Source organism: Homo sapiens, chromosome 21 (genome assembly GCF_000001405.40).
Source record: "Homo sapiens chromosome 21, GRCh38.p14 Primary Assembly".
Lineage (NCBI taxonomy): Eukaryota > Metazoa > Chordata > Mammalia > Primates > Hominidae > Homo > Homo sapiens.
The window spans coordinates 33,365,679-33,389,110 of record NC_000021.9 but is presented as its reverse complement, the minus strand read 5'-3'; the positions used below and the strand labels follow the sequence as shown (position 1 = coordinate 33,389,110).

Genomic DNA, 23,432 nt, shown 5'->3' with positions numbered 1-23,432 from the left:
GGTGCATGCCTGTAATCCAAGCTACTCAGGAGGCTGAGGCAGGAGAATTGCTTGAACCCAGAGGGCAGAGGTTGCCATGAGCTGGGATCGCTCCATTGTACCCCAGCCTGGGCAACAAGAGTGAAACTCCATCTCAAAAAAAAAAAAAAAAAAAAAAATTAACCGAGCTTGGTGGTGTGCACCTGTAGTCCCAGCTACTTGGGAGGCTGAGGCAGGAGAATCGCCCAGGCCCAGGAGTTCGAGGCTGCAGTGAGCCATGATTGCATCACCACATTCCAGCCTGGGTGATAGAGTGAGACCCTGCCCACTCCTCCGCCAAAAAAAGAGAGAGAGAGACAAACTCATTTACTTTTTTATTCCTCAAAAAATATTTACTAAGCACTTCTTAGATGCCAGGCATTGTTCTAGACACTTGAGATACATCGGTGACCAAAGTGTTGTCGCCACACTTCAACTTCAACCTACTGTAGGACTTTTCTTCCTTCCTTCCATTCTTTCTTTCTTTTAAAAATTAAAACCGGGGTCTTGCTTTGTTGCCCAAGCTGGCCTCAAACTCCTGAGCTCAAGCAATCCTCCCACCTTAGTCTTCCAGGTAGCTAGAACTACAAATGTGAGCCGCCCAGCCTGGCCTTCAAGAATTTGGTAATTATCTACAAGTAAGATGTGTTGCATAAATAGGAAGCTAGATGGATCATTAGGCAGATTTGATTACTGAAAACATGATGCACTTCCTATTATAGGCATGAGCCACTGTGCCCAGCCTACTTCCTCTTATAATCCCAACAACATTTATTTCAAAACTGTGTACAACGAGGACATTTTGGGGGTAATGGATATTTATGATTTTGATTGTGGGGATGATTTCACGTATGTTAAAAACTTATCAAAATGTATATTTAAAACATGCACGGCATAATAGATACCAGTTATACCTCAATTAAGCTGTGACAAGAGGGAAAAACTACATAGGCACCTTAAAAATAGGGTTGTAAAATGCTCAGTCAGTGATTGCTGCAGTAGTAGTCCATCTGTATGCTCAAATCTGACTTCTTAGAGAACCTTAATAAGAGAATTTTAACCTAGGGATGTCCTACCCTTAATCTGAATTGGGAATTCTGGGATTTCCTCCCACGGAAATCAGTTCAGGACCCATATGTAAAACTGATGCCCATTCGGCTAGCCGCGGTGGCTCACGCCTGTAATCCCAGCACTTTCGGAGGCCGAGGCGGGCGTATCAAGAGGTCAGGAGATGGAGACCAGCCTGGCTAACACGGTGAAACCCCGTCTCTACGAAAAATACAAAAAATTAGCCGGGCGTGGTGGCAGGCGCCTGTAGTCCCAGCTACTCGGGAGGCTGAGGCAGGAGAATGGCGTGAACCCGGTAGGCGGAGCTTGCAGTGAGCTGAGATCGCGCCACTGCACTCCAGCCTGGGCAACAGAGTGAGACGCCGTCTCAAAACAAAAACAAAAACAAAAACAAACTGATGCCCATTCAATGCTGGTGGCTCTGACTCCCCAGGTAGTTCAAGGCCTAGAGAAATGCTAGTGTCACTTTGGGCTTGGAGAGGCCAACAACCCAGCGATGTCATAAACTACCTGGGGCTCACCTGCCTCAGGCTGAAGGTCACTGGGACTGCTAAGAAGCAAGAATAAGCCAAGGGGCCAGAGCTCTTCCCACGAGAGCTGCAGATGTCATACTCCAGTCCTGTGTCGAAGGATTTTTAAAAAACCAAGTATCAGGCTGGGCATGGTGGCTCACACCTGTAATCCCAACATTTTGGGAGGCCGAGGTGGGATCACTTGAGGTCAGGAGTTTGAAACCAGCCTGGCCAACATGGTGAAACCCTGTCTCTACTAAAAATACAAAAAGTAGCCAGCCACGGTGGCTACTACCTGTAATCCCAGCTACTTGGGAGGCTGAGGCTCTAAAATCGGTTGAACCCAGGAGGCTCAGCTTGCAGTGAGCCAAGATCACACCACTGCACTCCAGCCTGGATAGCAGAGTGAGACTCCATCTCAAAAACAAAGCAAAACAAAACAAAACAAAAAAATCAAGTATCACAGAATAAAATATTTAGGTTATGGGAAAATAAATTCCAACTCACAGCTCCAAAATCCGAAGAGCTCTGAAAATCACAAACATTTTCTTAACTCCTGACTTGAATTAATATCAAACTAGATATAGTCCTTAATTCTTCCATTAAATGTGAAATGGATACACTTTCCCTAGAAAATTAGAAATGGTTTGATTACAGGGTGCTGCCCACAACATGCTGAGAGTGCTACCTAATATTACCTGCACCATATCGCTTTTCTAAAACGCCAAATTAGGCTAGGTGCTCACGCCTGTAATCCCAGCACTTTGGGAGGCCAAGGTGGGAGGGAGGATTTATTGAGGCCAGGAGTTTGAGACCAGCCTGGGCAATATAGTGAGATCCCCCCTCCCATCTTAAAAACAAACCAAAAAACCCAAATCATGAAACATTTCTGGCCCCTGAGGTTCCCAGATAAGGGGTTGTGGACAGGGGCTGATAACACACCCATCTAGTGAACAGCTGTACTTGAGATGTTATTTCGGGAAACGCTCTCAACCCACTTGTAAAGAAGAGAGCAGTATCCCCTTCTCACCTGGGAGGAAAACTGAAGCTCAGAGGCCTTCTGTTAGAGGCCAAATTGGAAACAACAGAACCCACCCTAGCTAGTTTAAGCAGAAAACAAATTAATGGAAGGTCACTGGTAGCAGAATCCTTGGAAGATCCAGGAAGCCGGTTTGGAGGCCCCAAGGCCAGGAAAGGTGCTCAGTTCTCCTTCAGGGGCCGCTAGTGAGCACATTCTTTCCCCACAACCTCACTGGTACCAAGGATATTAAACGGGGTAATATTTGTCCATGAAACTGCCCCCCACCCCCAGGATATCTCATTGTTGTTTGATTTGGATTTTTTGACCGTGGATGAGGTTGGCCATCCATTGTTGTTTGAGACAGAGTTTCACGCTGGAGCGCAATGGTGCAATCTCGGCTCACCGCAACCTCCGCCTCCCAGGTTCAAGCAATTCTCCTGCCTCAGCCTTCTGAGTAGCTGGGATTACGGGCATGCACCACCACGCCCGGCTAATTTTGTATTTTTTTTTTTTTAGTAGAGATGGGGTTTCTCCATGTTGAGGCTGGTCTCGAACTGCTGACCTCAGGTGATCTGCCTGCCTCGGCCTCCCAAAGTGCTGGGATTATAGGCGTGAGCCACTGTGCCCGGCTGGCCACCCATTGTTTAACAACACTTGAATCTCTTTTTCTATTATCACATCTTTTCTCCCCCACTCCATTTTTTTTTGTCTTGTTCTGTTGCCCAGTTTGGGGTGCAGCAGCATGATCATAGCTCACTGCAACCTCAACTTCCTAGGGTCAAGCCATCCTCCCACCTCAGGCTCCCAAGTAGCTGAGACTACAGGTAGGGGTCACCATGCCCAGCTAATTAAAAATATATATAGAGAGAGACGAGGGTCTCACTAAGTTACCCTGGCCGGTCTTAAACTCCTGGGCTCAAGCCATCCTCCCGCCTCAGCCTCCCAAATGCTGGAATTACAGGCATGAGCTACCAGTCTGGCTGTTGCCCTTTTTTGAGTGGGTTATTGTCTCTTCTAAAAATTGATTCGTGTATACGTGCTCCCTCCCTGGGCACTTAATGCTGGTGACCAGTCCCTACTCCAGGCACTCCACAGGGCAGGACTCACCTTCCAGAAAGCAGTTCCACTAACCTGGGGAGAGCCCAGATGGCAAAGGAAGGCGTGATTGCAGCCTGGGATGGCTGGAAGCACTCTTAGCTAAACCGGGCTTGGACTGCCTGACGCCATCTTCAGAGAGGCTTGGGAAGCTGGGCTCAGCCACGAGGCTGGCTTGGAACTAACGGGAAAAGGGTGGACAGATGAGATTTATCTTCTCAATCATGCCGTTTGGCTAACCTACACTCAATCCAGTCTAGGCAGCTTCGCGATCGGCTTGTAACTTGTATCTAACCCATTTAGTGAGAATAACCAGCTGGTTCACGTAATGCTTGCTGCTATGCGGTTTATGTGAGAAGACACTTTTACCAGTGGTTAAAGTCCTTCGAATTCTTCACTCTTGACAGAGAAGACAAAGGACCTGTGGTTATTATGTTATAACCACACAGTATCAAAGGTTACTTAGCTAAGTGTGAAAGTAACAGTAAGCGCCGCGAACATCAAGGAAACTCAGGAAACTCTTCCTCGAAGCCTTTTGATGACATTCAGCGCTGCATAAAAATCACAGATTCCTCTCAGCTCATATGCACAGGATGCCCAGAAATAAGACTCTGTGGAATGGATTTTCTTGGTACATTCTAAGGTTCATAGAAGAATAATTAGAAGTTCTCGATCAGTTATTTAAAGGGAAGAGAGCCTTTTACTGAGGTCCAGGGTGGTCTAGGTGCACCCTGTTTCTTTCTGGAAACAAATACATAGAAACAGCTCAACTGACTTCTCATTAATAACTGTTTATAGAGAATTGATGAGGCAGCCGGGCACGGTGGCTCACACTTGAAATCCCAGCACTTTGGGAGGCCAAAGTGGGAGGATCACTTGAGATCAGGGGTTTGAGATCAGGCTGGACAATATGGTGAAACCCTGTCTCTACTAAAAATACAAAAATTAGCCAGGTGTGGTGGCGCATGCTTGTAGTCACAACTACTTGAGAGGCTGAGGCAGGAGAATCACTTGAACCCAGGAGGCGGAGGTTGCAGTGAGCCAAGATTGCACCATTGCACTCCAGCCTGGGTGACAAGAGTGAAACTAGGTCTCAAAAACAAACAAACAAACCAACCAACAAACAAAAAACCCAAAAAACAAAACTAGGATGATAGGCTGGGCGTGATGGCTCAAGCCTGTAATCCCAGCACTTTGAGAAGCCGAGGAAGGAGGATTGCTTGAGGCCAGGAGTTTGAGACCAGTCTGGGCAATGTAGTAAGACCTCCCTCTCTAAAAAAAAAAAAAAAAAAAAAAAAAAAAAAAAAAAAAAAATTTAGCCATGCATGGTGGTGCACACCTGCAGTCCCAGCTACTCAGAAGGCTGAAGCATGTGAATCGCTTGAGCCCAGGAGGTGGAGGTTGCAGTGAGCCGAGATCATGCCACTGCACTCCAGCCGGGGTGACAGAGCAAGACTCTGTCTCGAAGAAAAAGAAAAAAAAATTGATGCTGAGTAAAAAAAGCCAGTCGCAAAGGACTACATATTGTATGGTTCCATTACTATGAATTGTTCAGTAAAGGCAAATCCATAGAGACAAAAGGTACATTGGTGGTTGTCAGAGGCTGGGGGCGGGGGTGAGGGAGTAGGGTGTGGCTGCTTGATGGGGACACAGTTTCCTTTTGGGGAAGTGAAAATATTTTGGAACGAGATACAGGTGGTGCTTGCACAACAGTGTGAATGTACCAAATGCCTCTGAATCGTACACTTTAAAATGGTTAATTTATGTTATGTGAATTTTACCTCAATCACTGAAAGAAAAAAAAACGCCAAAATGACATCCGGCCCTGCCCCCTTGCTCAATTCCGTGTCCTTCCCTTCATGGATTTGTTACTCGCTTGTCTTGCAGGCGAGGACAAGTCACGACTGCTGTTCAGTTTGCTGATCTCTGAAATGGCAACCCTGATGCTTGTAGACGGGTTAACCCCCTAGCAGGACACAGTGAGGGTTGGTTTCCTGTGTCCTCCTCGCAGTCTGGGTCACGTGGCGCTTCCTGTGGCTCACTGCCTCTGACTTTTCAATCAACTTTGTGGCTAAAGCACCATGCACTGTGCTTTGCATGGTCCGGACTGTCTGGTTTGTCAGCGACTCAGGGGCTTTTCCAGATGCGGGACTTTCAGTGCTGAAACTGGGAAAGCCCAGGGTAAACCAGGATGAGTCAGCGGCCCTGCCTCGTGCTCTGGATAAGTAAGGTGTGCAGAGGTCAAGGCTACAGCTCTCTCCCCAGAGGGGATCTTCCCTCACTTTCAGCACAGTCAGAGGAGGGGGCTCCCGTGTGCCAGGGGAGGAGGCTGGATCTGAAGGTGGGTGGAGCCGGGACAGTACTAGATTAGGGGCTGCCAGCAGTTTCTCCTTTTGTTTCGTTTGCTAGTTTTTGAGACAGCATCTTGCTCTGTTATCCAGGCTGGAGTGCAGTGGCACCATCACCGCTCACTGCAGCCTCAACCTTCCAGGCTTAAGTGATCCTCCCACCTCAGCCTCCTGACTAGCTGAGACTACAGGCACGCACCACCATGCCCAGCTAATCTTTTTGTATTTTTTTGGAAAGATAGGTTTGCCCAGGGTGGTCTCAAACTCCTGGGCTCAAGCGATCCGCCTGCCTCAGCCTCCCATAGTGCTGGGAATACAGGCATGAGCCATCACAGCTCGGCCTGATTTCTCCTTTTGGAGTGAAAACTGGAATTTTCTTTGAGGTCCTTTTTGAAGTCAAGGGCTAACGTCATGAGTGGCCTGTTAGGTGACATAGATGACCAACAACCAGTGATGACCAACAACCAGTGATGACCAACAACCTGAAAATGATGCTGATGGTGGTGGTGGGAGCTTGGCAGGATGGTTTTGGCTGGATAAGGGCCTGGGCTTAGTAGCATTTGTGGGTGAAATTAGGGCATGCCTCAACTTGGGTTATGTAAAGGGATCAGCAAATCTACCGAGATGCCACGGAGACTCTGAGAAGAGCGACTGGGCCTCTCTGCTCTTTCCTTCTTCCCTTCTTTTCTTTTCCTTTCTTTTCTTTTCCTTTCTTCTTTTTCTGTTCTTTACTTTTCTTTTTCCTTCCTTCCTTCCTTCCTTCCTCCCTCCCTTTCTTCTTTTCTTTCTTTCTTTTTTTTTTTTGAGACAGGGTCTCTGCCGCCCAGGCAGGAGTGTAGTAGCACAATCTCGGCTCACTGCAACCTCCACCTCCCAGGTTCAAGCAATTCTCCTGCCTCAGCCTCCCGAGTAGCTGGGATTACAGGTGCCCGCCACCATGCTCGGCTAATTTTTTTGTATTTTTAGTAGAGACAGAGTTTCACCATGTTGGGCAGGCTGGTCTTGAACTCCTGACCTCAGGTGATCCACTCACCTCAGCCTCCCAAAGTGCTGGGATTACAGACATGAGCCACCACACCTGGCCTCTGCTCTTTCTTTGAAGTTCAATGTCACTGGAGGACATCTGATGGATTGAGGGGTGAGGAGAGCTTGGCTGAGGCTGATATAGGAAAGAACAGTAGGGGCCCAGGATCCCCCCAAGGCTGGATGTCTGGAGGGGTAGGACCAAGGGGAGCCTGAACAGTGGACCTGGAGCAGAAGTCACTTGGGAAGACCGTCATCTGGGGCAACCTGTGAGGGACATAGCCCTGCCAATGCGTGATGAGGTGCCTTCCAGAAAGTGGCTGCTTGTGATTCGAAAGTGGGCCCCTAGACTGGGAGTGGTGGCTCACGCCTGTAATCCCAGCACCCAGCAGTTTGGGAGGTCGAGGGCAGTGGATCACTTGAGCCCAGGAGTTTGAGACCAGCCTGGGCAATGTGGAAACCCCCATCTTTACAAAAAAAAAAAAGAAAAAAAAATTAGCTGGATGTGGTGGCTCATGCCTGTAGTCCCAGCTACTCAGGAGGCTAAAGTGGGAGGATTGCTTGAGCCCAGGAGGGTGAGGCTGCAGTGAGCTGTGATTGTGCCACTGCACTCCAGCCTGGGCGACAGAGTGAGACCATGTTAAAAAAAAAGACAAAAGAAAAAGAAAGTGGGCCCCTAAAACACTGCTCATAATCGCCCCCAAAAGTGTCAACAAGCCAAATGTCCATCAACTTATAACTAGATACATAGCATACGATGTATCCAAATGGTGGAAATTATTTGGCAATAAAGAAAAGAAGCACTGATACACGCTTCGACATGGACCAACCTCAAAAATGTGATGCTGAGTGAAAAAAGCCAGTCATAAAGGTCATGTATTGTATGATCCTCTTTATGTAAAATTTCCAAAATGGGTGCATTCATAGAGACAGAAAGTACATTAATGGATGCCAGGGGCTGGCAGGAGGGGAGACGAGGAGTGACTTTTAACGGGTACGGGACATCCAGCTCACAGATGCTCTGCATAATTAGAGGTCACACATTCCTCCAGCATCCTCCGGGGTCTTGCCATTTAATCTCTGTGGCCCCATCATCCATGGGTTTTGTTTATGCTTTAAGACCAGCTCTGTGTGGAGGAGTCTCTGAAGCATGGGGGCAAGGCAGGAAGAAATCGGGCCAACCCAGCCAGAGGGAGGACCAACCCCGAAGTGTCCCCTTTGACCAAATGTGGATTTCCGGGAGCACAGACCTGGCTGCTGCCCCAGGCGTTGGCTTCCTGTCTTGCCAAGCCTCTGCCATCCTGTTGTGTGAGTCAGAGCGAGTCACAGCGGAGGGCGTGGGAGGCCTGAAGATAGCCCAGCCAGTGTTCTCAGCTCGGCTGCATGTTAGAGACACCACGCATGTTTAAAGACTAGTGTGGTGGAGAGTAAAACTTTCTACTCTCTGAAGGTTTGATAATTGAGTCTATGAAGTAAACTGACAGTGGACAGATGACAGTCTCTCCACTAAAACCATTTTAATTATGTGTATACGCATGGAAGTCCCACCAAATCTGAGGCTCAAAAAGTCCAGATGATTGAGGTTTATACAGTATTCTGTTTGGGTTTTTTGTTTTGTTTTGTTTCAGAATCTTGCTCTGTCACCCAGGGTGGAGTGTGGTGGTGTGATCTCGGCTCCTCACTGCAACCCGTGACTCCCAGGTTCAAGTGATTCTCCTGTCTCAGCCTCCTGAGTAGCTGGGATTACAGGCATGTGCCACTACACCTGGCTAATTGTTTTTTGTATTTTTAGTAGAGACAGGGTTTCACCATATTTGCCAGGCTGGTCTCAAACTCCTGACCTCAAGTGATCCAGCTGCCTCTGCCCCACAAAGTGCTGGGATTACAGGTGTGACCACCATGTCAGGCCTTATACAGCATTCTGCTCTACAGAAAGGAGTAGAGGCTTGAGGCTTCCGGGGATTAAGCAACAGCAAGTCATGGCAGGGAAAGGGAAGTAAGTGCTTGGTGAGCAATCCCTGTCCTGCTCTGCAGAGAAACAGTCTCTGAGCTAATAGAGGTATTAAAAAAAAATAGAGATATCCCAGGCCTTCTGCCTGATACAATTTACCGATGTAGATTTCCTTTGTAGATATAAATTTTCTTTACAAAAGGACAGCTTTTCAGCTGTTCCTGTGCCTGTAGTTTCTCAAAATAACCAGCTCAAAATATGCCAAGGAAGTATATTTTGGCATGTTCTGATCTCCTATGGCCATATTTTGGGTGGTTTGTCCTGAGCCGAGGCAGGTGGATCACCCGAGGTCAGGAGTTTGACACCAGCCTGGCCAACGTGGTGAAACCCCGTTTCTACTAAAAATACAAACAATTAGTTGGGTGTGGTCGTGCCTGCCTGTAATCCCACCTACTCGGGAGGCTGAGGTAGGAGAATCACTTGAACCCGGGAGGCAGGATAATTGCTTGAACCCAGGAGGCAGAGGTTGCAGTGAGCCGAGATCACGCCATTTGCACTCTAGCCTGGGCGACAGCGTGAGACTCCATCTCAAAAAAAAAAAAAAAAAGTAACATATCAATTACATGTTAACAGAAACCACATATTTTTCATGAAAAATATATTTTCCAAAACAAAAAAGTATTCTTTGATAAAATTGCTCAAAAAAAAGAAAGAAAAAGAAAGTGGGCCCCTAAAACACTGCTCATAATCGCCCCCAAAAGTGGCAACAAGCCAAATGTCCATCAACTTATAACTAGATACAAAGCACGCGACATATCCAAATGGTGGAAATTATTTGGCAATAAAGAAAAGAAGCACTGATACACGCTTCGACATGGACCAACCTCAAAAATGTGATGCTGAGTGAAAGAAGCCAGTCACAAAGGTCATGTATTGTATGATCCTCTTTATGTAAAATTTCCAAAATGGGCGTATTCATAGAGACAGAAAGTACATTAATGGATGCCAGGGGCTGGCAGGAGGGGAGACGGGGAGTGACTTTTAACGGGTACGGGACATCCAGCTCACAGATGCTCTGCTTAATTTGGAGGTCACACATTCCTCCAGCATTCTCCAGAGTTTTGCCATTTAATTTTGATTTATGTATTTTGAGACAGAGTTTCGTTCTTGTCGCCCAGGCTGGAGTGCAGCGGTGCGATCTTGGCTCAGTACAACCTCTGCCTCCTGGGTTCAAGCGATTCTCCTGCCTCAGCCTCCCAAGTAGCTGGGATTACAAGCATATGCCACCATGCCCGGCTAACTTTTTGTATTTTTAGTAGAGATAGGGTTTCACCATGTTGGTCAGGCTGGTCACAAACTCCTGACCTTAAGTGATCTGCCCGCCTCGGCCTCCCAAAGTGCTGGGAATACAGGCGTGAGCAACCGCGCCCGGCCAAAATTGCTATTCTTTAAAAAGAGATTTTAAAACATCTCTTTAGTTTCTGTCCTAATAGAAGGAAGCTGGGTTTTTACATCTGCTCTGCTCTGCACGGGTGCAATATCACATATGCAGCCGCTAGAAAATCCCATTGCATATCCCACTGAAAGAATGATAGTGAAAAAGACAATTCATCTCTTGGTTGGTTATGAAAACAGTTTTGACCTTGCATCCCCTCTGAAAGGAGTTCTGGATACTTTGAGAACTACTGTTCTAAAACACTTAGATGCAATTAAAAGCTTTGCCATGGCCGGGCATGGTGGCTCATGCCTGTAATCGCAGCACTTTGGGAGGCCGAGGTGGGAGGGTCACCTGAGGCCAGGAGTTCAAGACCAGCCTGGCCAATATGGCGGAACCCCGTCTTTACTAAAAGTACACAAACTAGCCGGGTGTGGTGGCGCACCTGTAATTACAGCTACTCAGGAGGCTGAGGCTCTAAATCGCTTGAATCTGGGAGGCACAGGTTGCAGTGAGCCAGGATGGTGCTACTGCACTCCAGCCTGGGCAACAGAGCACGACTTTGTCTCAAAACAAACAAATAAACAAGACAGCTTTGCCAGTATCCATGAGCTTGGGAAAGTGACTGGATACATGTCAAATGTATGCAAATAAATTGCTTTGCCATATACCAACATCTCTGGAATGTCCCAGGCTCCACACAGCGTGTGTGTATACTGTATCGCCTTTATAGAGAATCTCAAATCTCAACAATCCAGTTGTCCCTTAGCTATGTTGCTGGAAGTCCAGGCTTTGGCTTTTGAAAGGCTCCTTCTCTTCCGCCATTTCTTCAAAGGGCTCCTGGGTGGGGAGAGAAGAGCAGATGGGAAGCCTAGGCAGCAAAGCAGGGCTCACACATATCCTCAGAAATGCACCTGCTGCAAGCAGCCCTACTGTTGGCTGTGCCCTGCCTTCTCTGCTATGTTGCTGTTGGCTATGCCTTCTCTGTGCTGCTGACACTGCTGCTGACTGCTCCGGCTCTTTTGCCAGGTCTTTCAGACAGAGTCCCCACAGTTCTTTCAGCACTGCCTGCTTAGTCCCATCGCTCCTGGGCACTGGAGAAGCAAGTGAATGATAGAGGTTGGGCCAAGGGGTAATTAGGTGGAGAATGTTCTTACAGTCTACAAATTCTGCCACCCTTTCTATCGCCAGCCAGCATCTGCATTCATGAGACATTCGTCAAAAGGGGCTGAGTTTTCTCTTCCTCCAGTTAAGATCCCTTGCAAGAAGGGAGCTGTACAGATGGGTTTCTGGACCTCATGTGAGTCAAGAGGTGACTGGTCATCTGTGTCTGTCAATTCTCACAGTCCAGGGACTTTCAGGGCACCATATTCAGAGCAGGTGAGCACACAGTGGCTAACTATGAGTCTCATTTCATACCTGTCAAAATGCTGCGGTGACTGTGGTCACTGCCATGAGGATGGGAAATTTTTAAGAGCATGGAAAAAAAAATCCCAGAAAAACTGGCAAATTGGAGAAAGTAGAGAAGGTGGCTGTGCTAGATAGAAAGGAGAGTAAATAAGGAAAAGGGCAGGTTGAGCACAGTGTGATTGCTGGGAGAAAATGAGGGACCGAGAGGTGAGCGGTGCCCACCTCTGGAAGGTTTTGTTTGTCCCCTACATGGGATGAGTGGCGCTGGAGGAAGACAAGGTGGGAAGGAAGCTCCCTCCTCCAGGTGCCTCCGGAAGCCCAGTGCTGATGTCGCTGAACACGAAGGGAGAGTGTCACTGTCACGGCACCAGTGGCTTCTTTGTGGCTAAATCCAAAGGGTGCATTTTAGCTCTTTCCTTCCAAAAGCAGTTGATATTTTCAGTGTCATTCAAATTTATAAGAAAAAAACTTATTACCTTTTAAAAAGATCATTATTAATTATTATTATTATTATTATTATTATTATTTGAGACAGGGTCTCACTCTGTCACCCAGGCTGGAGTGCAGTGGCGCAGTCTTGGTTCACTGCATCCTCTGCCTTCTAGGTTCAAGCCATTCTCATGCCTCAGCCTCCCAAGTAGCTGGGATTACAGGTACCCGCCACCATGCCTGGATAATTTTTGTAATTTTAGGAGAGCTGGTATTTCACCATGTTCGACAGGCTGGTCTTGAATTCCTGACCTCAGATGATCCACCCGCCTCGGCCTCCCAAAGAGTTGGGATTACAGGCATGAGCCACCGCAGTCGGCCAAAAATTATTTTTAAAAGATTATTTTAAAAATATTATTTTCTTGTGTCTACTCAGGATTTTGTCTGTAATACTAATTTTCAAGTGTCTCCCGATTTTATCCTACTTATAATTGCATACTATCAAGTGTAGTTGTGTCTCAGCCCCGGAATTTTCTGTTTAAATATTCTTCCTGAAATAGAATGTTTTTACATAATCAACAGCTCATTTATTGCCCAATTAAAAAAACAGCCTTATCTAGGTATAATTTACATGCCACAAACTCATCCATCTTAAATGTATACATCAATAATTCTTATTAACTTCAGAGTTATATAAATACTACCACAATCTAGTTTTAGAAAAATTTTTGTTTAACTTTTTGAAAACACCTTAAATGAAATTAGCATTAGAGAAAAAAATATGTCTATTTTAAAAACCCTGAAATTTGAACTTTTTTTTTTTTTTTTTTTGAGATGGAGTCTTGCTCTGTTTCCCAGACTGGAGTGCAGTGGCACGATCTCAGCTCACTGCAACCTCTGTCTCCTGGGTTTAAGCGATTCTGCTGCCTCACCCTCCCTAATTTTTGTATTTTTAGAAGAGATGGGGTTTCGCCATGTTGGCCAGGCTGGTTTTGAACTCCTGATCTCAGGTGATCCACCCACCTCAGCCTCCCAAAGTGTTGGAATTACAGGCGTGAGCCATCTTGCCCAGCCTGAACATATTTTTTAAATGGTGTGTTTTTTTCTTTCAATGACACTAGCTTAAACTAAGCCATTTGAACTCTTATTTTAATGGATCAACTATTTGATCATTTATTTAACATCATGTGATAGTTAATGTTATGTGTCAATTTCACTAGGTTATGCTACCCAGGCATTCGGTCAGACATTATTCTAGATGTTTCTGTGAAGATGCTTTTTAGATGTGTCCTAATTTTCTGAATGGTGGCTTGGACCAGGGTAGTAGCAGTGGAAGTGGTAAAAGTGGTCAGAGTGGAGGTATTTTGGTAGCATGGGTGCGATTTCCTGACAGATAGAATGCGGGTCATGAGAAAGGCAGGAGTCAGGGGTGGCATAAGGTTTTTGACCTTAGCGACTGGAAGGAAGGAGTGGCTACTTATGTTGATGGGAAAAGACTGAAGAGTGGGACGGTTTGATTTGGTTTAAAATCAGCATCAGCACCTCCCATTTTATAATGGAGGACTTGTGTGTGTGTGTGAAGGAAAATGTGTCTTGGTTGAGTGCAGTGGCTCATGCCTGTAATCCCAGCACTTTGGGAAGCTGAGACAGGAGGATCACTTGAGCCCAGGAGTTCAAGACCAATCTGGGCAACATAGCAAGACCTTGCCTCTATTGAAAAAAAAAAAAAGTGACTGAAGCACATGACCCTAGAATCATCTAGATAATACTGCAACTATGAACTGCGCTAGAAGCTGCATGCTCATCATTTCTCTTTACAATGTCCCTGTGATACCGATGTGAGCATGAGCATGCCAAGTTTATGTTTATTACTATAATTATTATATAATACTTACCAAGCACTTCTTGGGGTTTTAGGTACAGAGACCTAAAGTTATTTGCCCAAAGTCACACGGCCAGTAGGTGGCAGGGCTGGAATTCAAATTGGGTTACTGTACCCTGGAGTCCCTATCCCTTCAAGACATTGTTTTGTGCCTAATTGCGAATCTGAACTTTGTACAACCTCCAAAAGAAATACTTGATAATAATTCTGAATCATCCATTTCCACACTCTAGGGGGGTGAACTAAGTAATTTTTTTCATATTGCAACTGTTTGCTTTTAAGTTCTACAAATAGAAAAAATAAGCATTTCCCTATTGAAGAGGAAGTGTAACTGGACACTACATGCTTTGCTTAGTCAAGGGGAAAATTTAATATAAAAACCACTATACATTTGAGGAAGTGGGTCAAGAGGCTGAAAGGCCAACAAAGAATCAGAGAAATGTATGCTTCTCCATAATAATTGTTTACAGTTGAAGGAAAGTCCCAAAAGCAGTATACATCCCAAATTTCTACTTTGTCCAAGTCAAAGATCCTTGAACCTGGCAATGAGTAGATGTGCACCTTATAGGGCATACAATACACTCACACAGTTTGTAGGATGAACAAATATACTCGGTCTTCTTTCTTTCAACTTCCTTTCCCTGAAGTGACAAGCAGCAACAGAACTAGGAAGACCCAGCTTTGCTTCATGTATTTATTCTTGATGATTATTGTCATAAAGATGTGAGTTTCAGGAAGTAGATACCAGCCAAACTGGTACAGAGCTGGTTACAGAAGGCAGCTTTTGGGTATAATCCCAGTTTAATTTTAGAGGAAAACACGTGCAACACAAATGCTTTATTTTACCAACTTGTTTTCCATGCAGTTATGATTTTAATGAAATCAAATAAACTCTTCTTGCTCAGGGTGAATATATACTTGAACTTCATAAATAATCATTTCAGATGAATTCTCCCAGTTTCGAAGAAACTGGTCATCTGGTAGCAGAGCCTGCTTACTATTCCCCAAGGGGTCTGCTCACCACACTGGCACCTCCTGCCTTTTGCTTGTCTCTCTACTGGTTCAGCCAACTCTGGGCATAAATCCCTCCCTTCATTTTCCAAAGAGATAGTGGTGACAAGATTACAGCTTTAATGTGACTTCCCTGAAGGTTTATGGGTAAAGGAAGGGAATTCCTACCCAGGCAGTCACTTGTTAATGCTGCCATGCTGGGGCCATGCTTGGAACCCACAGGAATGAACTCAGGGCCTTGAAGGGCCTCCTGTCTGCTAAGGAGCCAGGCCAACCTCTTCAGAATCACAGTGCCCTCAGGCAAATCTCTCACCCTGGTAGATGCCCACGCACCTTGAGATCAGAGGGAGGGAGAGGTGCCTCCCTGAATCAGGGATTATGGATTCCTTCAAGTCTTCATTTCCTGGCCTGAAGTTCATTTCATTTGCTTCCCAGGAGGGCTGAGGCTCACTCTCGTTGTTTTTTTTTTTTTTCGGAGTCTCACTCTATTAGCAGGCTGGAGTGCAGTGGCGCGATCTCGGCTCACTGCAGCCTCCGCCTCTCAGATTCAAGCAATTCTCCTGCCTCAGGCTCCCGAGTAGCTGGAACTACAGGTGCGCACCACCGCGCCCAGCTAATTTTTGTATTTTTAGTAGAGACGGGGTTTCACCATGTTGGCCAGGCTGGTCTTGATCTCTTGACCTCATGATCTGCCCGCCTCAGCCTCCCAAAGTGCTGGGATTACAGGCGTGAGCCACGGCGCCCGCCCATTCTCATTTCTTTTTTTTTTTTTTGAGACGGAGTCTCGCTGTGCCTCCCAGGTTGGAGTGCAGTGGCGCGATCTCGGCTCACTGCAAGCTCCGCCTCCCAGGTTCATGCCATTCTCCTGCCTCAGCCTCCCAAGTAGCTGGGACTACAGGCGCCCACCACCATGCCCGGGTAATTTTTTGTATTTTTAGTAGAAACGGGGTTTCACCGTGTTAGCCAAGATGGTCTCGATCTCCTGACCTCGTGATCCGCCCGTCTCGGCCTCCCAAAGTGCTGGGATTACAGGCCCATTCTCATTTCTTTTAGGAGCAACCTCTCTACTCCACCCACAAGGTGAGGCCTGGCCCCAGGGTTCCCCAAAAACAATCCTACCGCACCCGCGCACCTGGGCGGTGCCCTCTGGAGCCAGTCCAATGGTCTCCTTCAGCATTAAGTGAGGGCATGGGTGTCTTGCTACAGACCTGGGGGCTGCTGGCCTCTCTGCAGTGACAAATGCTACATCCCATGCTCATACCTTCCCAAGTAGAAGCAATCACTTTTAGTAGCAGAAAAATTGAAATACGTCTCTCAAAGTAACAAAGTCAAGTGTATGCACACTTTGGCCAGGCGCGGTGGCTCACGCCTGTAATCCCAGCACTTTGGGAGGCTGAGATGGGTGGATCACGAGGTCAGGAGATCGAGACCATCCTGGCTAACATGGTGAAACCCCGTCTCTATGAAAAAAATACAAAAAAAAATTAGTTGGGCGTGGTGGTGAGCGCCTGTGGTCCCAGCTACTTGGGAGGCTGACGCAGGAGAATGGCGTGAACCCGGGAAGAGGAGCTTGCAGTGAGCCGAGATTGCGCCACTGCACTCCAGCCTGGGCAACAGAGTGAGACTCCATCTCAAAAAAAAAAAAAAAAAAAAAAGAGTATGCACAATTTTAGGGGTTTCTGGTGATTTTCCAGAAGTGTGGACACAGATGTGTCTAAGGCATAGTCTCTCCACCTGGTCACTGTTGACGTTTTGGGCCAGATGATACTTGGGTGGGGAAAAAGGGACTGTTCTGTGCATGTACCCACTAGATGCCAGTAGCACCTACCCCCACCCTCCAGTTGTGACAACCGAAAATGTCTCCAGACAATGCGAAATTCCTCTGGGGGTAAAACTGCCACCACTGCTTTAATGCAATTAATTTGCAATCTCTCAGCTTCCATAAGTGCTTTTGCCTACAATTCATCTTCAGGGCCCACGTTTTGAGGTTCTTTTCCACCTTCCCTTCCACAATCACCCTTCCTTTACTTCATAAAGAAAAGCATGCTCCTCTCTCCCACCCTTGGACTCTCACTAGGATGACCTGGGTGTGAAAATCTCTGGGGCACAAGCTAAGAGACAACTCAGTTGAGAAACAGAATGATTCCAGTGACTGGGTGACAAGCCCTTTAAGAAGGCTGGCACTTATTAATATTTGCTTACAAAAATAATGTAAGTAGGAACTACTCAAATTGCCTGCTGACCAATCAATCATTGTACAAATTTTTGAAGGTTTTATTATGGGAAATTTTATATGTTCCTGAAATTAGAGAGAAGTATAATGAGCCACTCAGCTGAGTTCCCAACACTCAGCTTCGATTAGCAACATGAAAATCAGGATTTTAAACATTTATGATGACTGTTATGGTGACGAAGGGAAAACTTCCTCTTCACCCTCTGAGGTTTTGCTGAAAAATCAGTGGACAAAAGGCTGATAAAGGCTGGGCCTGGTGGCTCACACCTATAATCCCAGCACTTTGGGAGGCTGAGATGGGTGGATCGCTTGAACCCAGGAATTTGAGACCAGCCTGACCAACGTGGCGAAACCCTGTCTCTACTAAAAATAGAAAAACTAGACAGGTGTGGTGGGGCGTGCCTATAATCCCAGCTATTTGGGAGGCTGAGGCATGAGAATCACTTGAAATCACTTGAACCTGGGAAGTGGAAGCTGCAGTGAGCCGAGATCATGCCACTGCACTCCAGCCTGGGCAACAGAGTGAGACTCCATCTCAGAAAAAAAAAAAAAGGGCAGATTAAAAGGATAAAAGGCATTCAAATGTATTAACGTGCACACAGGAGAACCCCAGAGTGATGACCCCAACTCCCCAGTGGGGCTCAGTAGCTTCCATGCCTTCCTGAGTGTACAGACAGAATGGGGACTTGAATCATGGCAAAACAGGTATGGGAGGGGGAGAAGATGAGGTCTGGTTAGCAAAGGTGGTCTTGTTAGAAAGTTTACAGATAGCAGTGCTCAGAGAGAATAGGTGATGAATGCTTTTCGGACCTTTAAAGATGTCTGACTCTCAGTTAATCTTTCCTGGATAGGACAAGGGAGGGCCTGAGAGGAAGCCTGGTTGCATCCGTGCAGATTTTCTCGACAGATGCAAATCTCCCTGACAAAAGACAGCGTTTTAGTTGCTCTTGTATTTCTAGCCCTTCTGAATCACCATCTTGAACTATGTCAAGGAAATATATTTTGGGGTGAAATATTTTGGTTTTCTTCACTATGGAAAGTTTCAGACTTGTACAGAAATAGACTAGGGTTATGAACCTCTCTGTGCCTGTCACCTAGTATATTAGGTTTCTGTTGCTGTGCAACAAATTCCTACACACTTAGCAGCTTAGAACAATATTCATGGATTAGCTCACACCCTGTGGTCAGAAGTCCAGCATGGCTAGGCTCTCTGCTCAGCATATTGTAAGGTTGAAGTCAAGGTGTCGGCTGGGCTGTGTTCTCATCTGAAGGCTCTGTGGGGGAGAATTCTTGAAGTCTGCTCCTGTTGGCAGAATTCCATTCCTTGCGGCTGCAGGACCTAGGACCCTGTTTCCATGCTGACTGCCCACAGTGGCTGCCCCAGCTGCTACCAGCCACTTGCATCCCATGCACTGTGGCTCCCTCCACCTTAAAGCCATCAGCAGCCTGTTGAATCCCTGTGCTTTGAATTGCTGTCTGGGAGGAGCCAGAGAAAACTCTGCTTTTGGAGGGCTCATGTGATTTAGGTCAGGCCCACCAGAATACTCCTCTCCCCGGCTAGCGGTCAACTGTGCCAAAGAAGCTAGTTACAGGAGTAAAATCTATTGCCAGACAGTACTGGGGATGATACAGGGTGTTTATATCAGAGGTAGGGACCTTGGGGACCATCTTTGAATTCTACCTATCACACTCAGCTTTAAGAATTATCCATTCACGGCTAGTTTTGTTTCAACTTGTACAGGATGAGTTCCCTGGAAGCAGGCTCTGAGATCCAGGTTAGCTTGCAGGAAGTTGAATAGGGAGTGCTCCCAGGATCAAATCTGTGCAAGGGAGAGAAGGAAGCAGGGCTGGGAAGAGTGAGTTCTAGGGGATGGACCTGGGAGCTGACCCAGTGGGGCAAGCCCTGATGGAGAAGACACTGGATGTGGGCTGTCACAGACAAGGGCTCAGCACAGGCTGGTACTCCTCAGTGAGGTGCTTCTTGAAGATACTGACAGAGCCAGGCTGTCTCTTGGCAATGCTTCAGCAGGTGGGGGAATAAGGCCTTCCCTTGTGCACAGTGCATTACACCCATTGCACTGCCCTGCATTTCTGTACCTTTCCTCCAGTGTTCATTTGAAGTAAATTTCAAATATTATCTTACTTCATCTATAAACATTTCAGACGCATCTTATTTAAAGCACAAGATACCATAATATTATTAGCTGGCACAAAATAAGTTAGTAATTCATATTACAAAAATTGTGGGAGGTGCAGTGGCTCAGGCCTATTGTCCTGGCACATAATCACATAATGAGGTGAGGTCAGGTGTTCGAGACCAGCCTGGGCAACATAGGAAGCCCTCATCTATGTGACAAATGAAAACAAAAAAAATTTAGCTGGGCATGGTGGCTCATGCCTGTAATCCCAGCACTCTGGGAGGCTGAGGTGGGTGGATCACCTGAGGTCAGGAGTTCAAGACCAGCCTGGCCAACATGACAAAACTCTGTCTCTACTAAAAATACAAAATTAGACAGGTGTGGTGGTGTGCACCTGTAGTCCCAGCTACTCTGGAGGCTGAGGCAGGAGAATCCTTTGAGCCCGGGAGGTGAAGTTTGCAGTGAGCTGAAATTGCACCATTGCACTCCAGCCTGGGCAACAGAGCAAGACTCCGTATCCAAAAAAAAAAAAAAAAAATTGTTGGTGTTAAAAGTTTTAATTGTCTTGACACAGGATTTTTCTCTACCACTTTGCCAAGCAGGGACCTCCATGGCTGGGGACACACACCCCCACTCCCAACCTCACCTGGGCTTTGCTCAGCCCCAGGCCTGCTGCTGGAGACATCCTGACCACTCAGCCCCACCTGCATTATGGCTTGTACCCAGTTCCCAAGCTCTTGTCCAAGAAGAATGAGAAGAATGAGGATATGCTGACAATTCGAAGGCGGAGGATGGGCAGAGAAGAATTTTGTTGAGCAGAACAGCTCTCAGTGGAGAGTGGACGTGGGGGTGGTCCCTGATCCCCACAGTCAGGTGGTTTCTCTCTCCCAGTGTGGCTGAGTTTGGGGTCTTTATGGGCTCAGAATAGGGGAGTGCATGCTGATTGGTTTGTGAGTATGCAAAAAAGGCTAAAGCAAAGACACCACTGAAAGGTGGGCATGACAGTGTAGAGAACCAATTAGGAGGTATATATAAAACAGGTGAAGGGTGGGGCTCAATCAGAGGAAAGTGCACCAAATGGGAAGACAGGTTCTCAATCCAGTCCGTGGATGTGACCTGTAGCTTGACTTTCAGGCTTTAAACTGTTTTTGGCTTGGCAGTGGGGTTTCACCAGGGACCCGCTGTTATCTGCCTAGGCATTTGCCTGCCTCTTGCCACTATCAGTCTCATAAATGTAACTTCCTCTTTCTCTCTCATGTGCACACACACACACACACACAATTGAAAACAGATAAGCTTGGCTGGGTGTGGTGGCTCATGCCTGTAATCCAAACGCTTTGGGAGGCTGAAGTGGGAGAATCACCTGAGGTCAGGAGTTCAAGACCAGCCTGGCCAACATGGTGAAACCCCGTCTCTACTAAAATACAAAAATTAGCTGGGCATGGTGGTGGGTGCCTGTAATCCCAGCTACTTGGGAGGCTGAGGCAGGAGAATCGCTTGAATCCAGGAGGCAGAGATTGCAGTGAGCTGAGATTGTGCCACTGCACTCCAGCCTGGGCGACAGAGCGAAACTCTGTCTCAAAAAAGAAAAGAAGAGAAAAGAAAAGAAAAAAGAAAAGAAAAGAAAAGAAAAGAAAAGAAAAGAAAAGAGATAAGCTCTCCCTCTTTTTCCTTGCAATTGATTTGTTAATGAAACCAGCCCTTTTGTCATACAGACTTGCTCATAGTCTGGAATTTGCATCTGTACAGTATCATGTAACCTGTTTCTTTGTCCCCTGTATTTTCTATAAGTTGGCAATTCGATCTAAGGCCAGGTCAGGATGGTGTTAGAAACAAGCACTCAGTGCTGCAAAGAAAAACCAGCACTTAGACAGAAAATTTCTCAGCAAGGCACATTTACTTCTGCAGAAGAGTGCTGCCTGTGTCCATCTGCTTGCAAGAGCACACCGAACAAAGGAGAGAAGGGTTTTTACCCCGCATGCAGCTTCTGTTCCTGTGTCCTTTCCCCATTGGTTGGAGTTGGACCGCACAATCTAAACTAACCCAACTGGATAAGACTTAAACTTTCTCTAAATATGGCAAACGTGCAGTTAAGAGAAGGATGGGGTAGGAGTAGTTTGTCTGTTAGAGTACAAGGCATGTCTGAACATGTCTGGGCATGTCAGGGCACAATCAGAGCGGAAGAGTTGTTTGCAGGCTAGAAATGAGAGTACAAGGAGGTTGGGCTTCTGAACAAAGAGCAAGAACTTTACACAATTAAACCCTTTGAAGAGGAATTTATCATTCCTAACAATGGGTTTTTTCAAGACTACTCCTGATCTGTCCATCAGGAGATGTATAATGTTTGGCAGTTTCTGTTTTTATAATGTTAGCTGCTGGGTTTTTTCTTTTCTTTTCTTTTTCTTTTTGTTTGAGACAGGGTCTCAATCTGTCACTCAGGCTGGAATGCAGTTGCTTGATCTTGGCTCATTGCAACATGCACCTCCTGGGCTCAAGTGATTCTCCTACCTCAGCCTCCTGAGTAGCTGGGACTCAGGTGTGCACCACCACGCCCAGCTACTTTTTTGTATTTTTTGTAGAGAGGGTTTTTACCATGTTGCCCAGTCTGGTCTCAAACTCCTGGGCTCAAACGATCCACCTGCCTCGGCCTCCCAAAGTGTTGAGATTACAGGAGTGAGCCACCACGCCCAGTCAATGTTAGCTGCTGTTGATTGTAAACTGAAAAGTATCTGAGACAGGTCTCAATTGAGAAGTTTACTTTGCCAAGGTTAAGGACAATGCCCAGGAGACAGGTCTGTGCCTTTCTCCAAAGATGATTTTGAGGGCTTCAATATAAGGGAAAAAACAGGCTGGTATGGAAAGAAGGAGGGTATGGTCACATTATCGAATCCACAAGTTGCAAGAGAAAAGGAGCAGGTAGGGGAATAGTCAATTTCAATTATGTATTCCTTGTATGCTCAGAAAATCAGCACTTTACAGAAGATAAGGTGAACACAGAGTAGGTTAAATATCCCCCCCAAGACACTTACCTTTACCTCTAGCTCTCTGCTTAGGAACAAAAGGAAAGGCAGCTTCTTGCATGACTCAGCTTTCAGCTTAGTTTTTTTCTTTTGGCAGAGTGAATTGGAGTCCCGAGTTTTTATTTTCCTTTCATATCATGCTCAGCAACTAGATAGAGATAATTTTTGATAAATGTTCACTAAATAGCTTTTGACCTATAAATCAGAAAGAATCCAAAGACTCGAGTGGAGGTGACACTTTGGGATTCCTTCCAAGCCCATCACAAAGCCTCACCCCAAAACATGGAAAACAGGAGCAGCAGAGGCACTAGGTCCTGTCTCCATGTGGCAAGAAGGCATGTTCATCTGTGACACCTGCAGGCATTGAAGGAAGAGGGAAGAAGCTCCATCCAGTTAATTAAGAGATGTATTTCCAGGCAGGGTGTGGTGGATCATGCCTGTAATCCCAGCACTTTGGGAGGCTGAGGCAGGCAGATCACTTGAGGCCAGGAGTTCAAGACCAGCCTGGCCAATATGGTGAAACCCTGTCTCTACTAAAAATCCAAAAAATTAGCCAGGCATGGTGGCATGCACTTGTAATCCCACTTGCTCGAGAGGCTGAGGCAGGAGAATCGCATGAACCCAGGAGGCAGAGGTTGCAGCAAGCTGAGATAGCACCACTGCACTCCAGCCCTGGGTGACAGAGCGAGACTCTGTCTCAAAATAAATAAATAAGTAAATAAATAAAAGAGATGCATTTCCAGTGAAATTGGACTTTTTATGCTGAAAAATTATTTATCAAAGGTTATGAAATATTTGATCAACTGTATACTAATAATTGCAATAATAATCCAGAAAA

The 23,432-nt window shown here is 46.3% G+C and overlaps 10 annotated features.

Annotated features, from left to right (window-relative positions):
- Positions 2,863–3,068: a silencer, noted in NCBI's record as "fragment chr21:34758349-34758554 (GRCh37/hg19 assembly coordinates)". NCBI's record gives its function as "represses an EF-1alpha promoter that drives an FKBP-Casp9 reporter gene in an ReSE screen in HepG2 liver carcinoma cells and K562 erythroleukemia cells {active_cell/tissue: HepG2 | K562}" and the evidence as "EXISTENCE:reporter gene assay evidence [ECO:0000049][PMID:32094911]".
- Positions 5,634–5,928: an enhancer, noted in NCBI's record as "tiled region #6397; HepG2 Activating non-DNase unmatched - State 1:Tss, and K562 Activating DNase unmatched - State 1:Tss". NCBI's record gives its function as "activates a minimal TATA promoter and a strong SV40 promoter by Sharpr-MPRA in HepG2 and K562 cells {active_cell/tissue: HepG2 | K562}" and the evidence as "EXISTENCE:reporter gene assay evidence [ECO:0000049][PMID:27701403]".
- Positions 5,634–6,105: a biological region, named in NCBI's record as "Sharpr-MPRA regulatory region 6397".
- Positions 5,746–6,105: an enhancer, noted in NCBI's record as "active region_18379". NCBI's record gives its function as "activates an Ori minimal core promoter by ATAC-STARR-seq in GM12878 lymphoblastoid cells {active_cell/tissue: GM12878}" and the evidence as "EXISTENCE:reporter gene assay evidence [ECO:0000049][PMID:35858748]".
- Positions 7,870–9,069: an enhancer, noted in NCBI's record as "P300/CBP strongly-dependent group 1 enhancer chr21:34752348-34753547 (GRCh37/hg19 assembly coordinates)". NCBI's record gives its function as "activates an origin of replication core promoter dependent on BRD2, BRD4, P300/CBP, MED14 and CDK7 cofactors, with strong dependence on P300/CBP, by STARR-seq in HCT116 cells {active_cell/tissue: HCT116}" and the evidence as "EXISTENCE:reporter gene assay evidence [ECO:0000049][PMID:35650434]".
- Positions 8,548–8,707: an enhancer, noted in NCBI's record as "active region_18378". NCBI's record gives its function as "activates an Ori minimal core promoter by ATAC-STARR-seq in GM12878 lymphoblastoid cells {active_cell/tissue: GM12878}" and the evidence as "EXISTENCE:reporter gene assay evidence [ECO:0000049][PMID:35858748]".
- Positions 21,155–21,856: an enhancer, noted in NCBI's record as "H3K27ac hESC enhancer chr21:34739561-34740262 (GRCh37/hg19 assembly coordinates)". NCBI's record gives its function as "activates a minimal SCP1, AML or CMV promoter by ChIP-STARR-seq in naive and primed H9 embryonic stem cells {active_cell/tissue: H9 hESC(naive and primed)}" and the evidence as "EXISTENCE:reporter gene assay evidence [ECO:0000049][PMID:30033119]".
- Positions 21,155–22,708: a biological region, named in NCBI's record as "MED14-independent group 3 enhancer GRCh37_chr21:34738709-34739908".
- Positions 21,509–22,708: an enhancer, noted in NCBI's record as "MED14-independent group 3 enhancer chr21:34738709-34739908 (GRCh37/hg19 assembly coordinates)". NCBI's record gives its function as "activates an origin of replication core promoter dependent on BRD2, BRD4, P300/CBP and CDK7 cofactors, and independent of MED14, by STARR-seq in HCT116 cells {active_cell/tissue: HCT116}" and the evidence as "EXISTENCE:reporter gene assay evidence [ECO:0000049][PMID:35650434]".
- Positions 21,857–22,558: an enhancer, noted in NCBI's record as "H3K27ac hESC enhancer chr21:34738859-34739560 (GRCh37/hg19 assembly coordinates)". NCBI's record gives its function as "activates a minimal SCP1, AML or CMV promoter by ChIP-STARR-seq in naive and primed H9 embryonic stem cells {active_cell/tissue: H9 hESC(naive and primed)}" and the evidence as "EXISTENCE:reporter gene assay evidence [ECO:0000049][PMID:30033119]".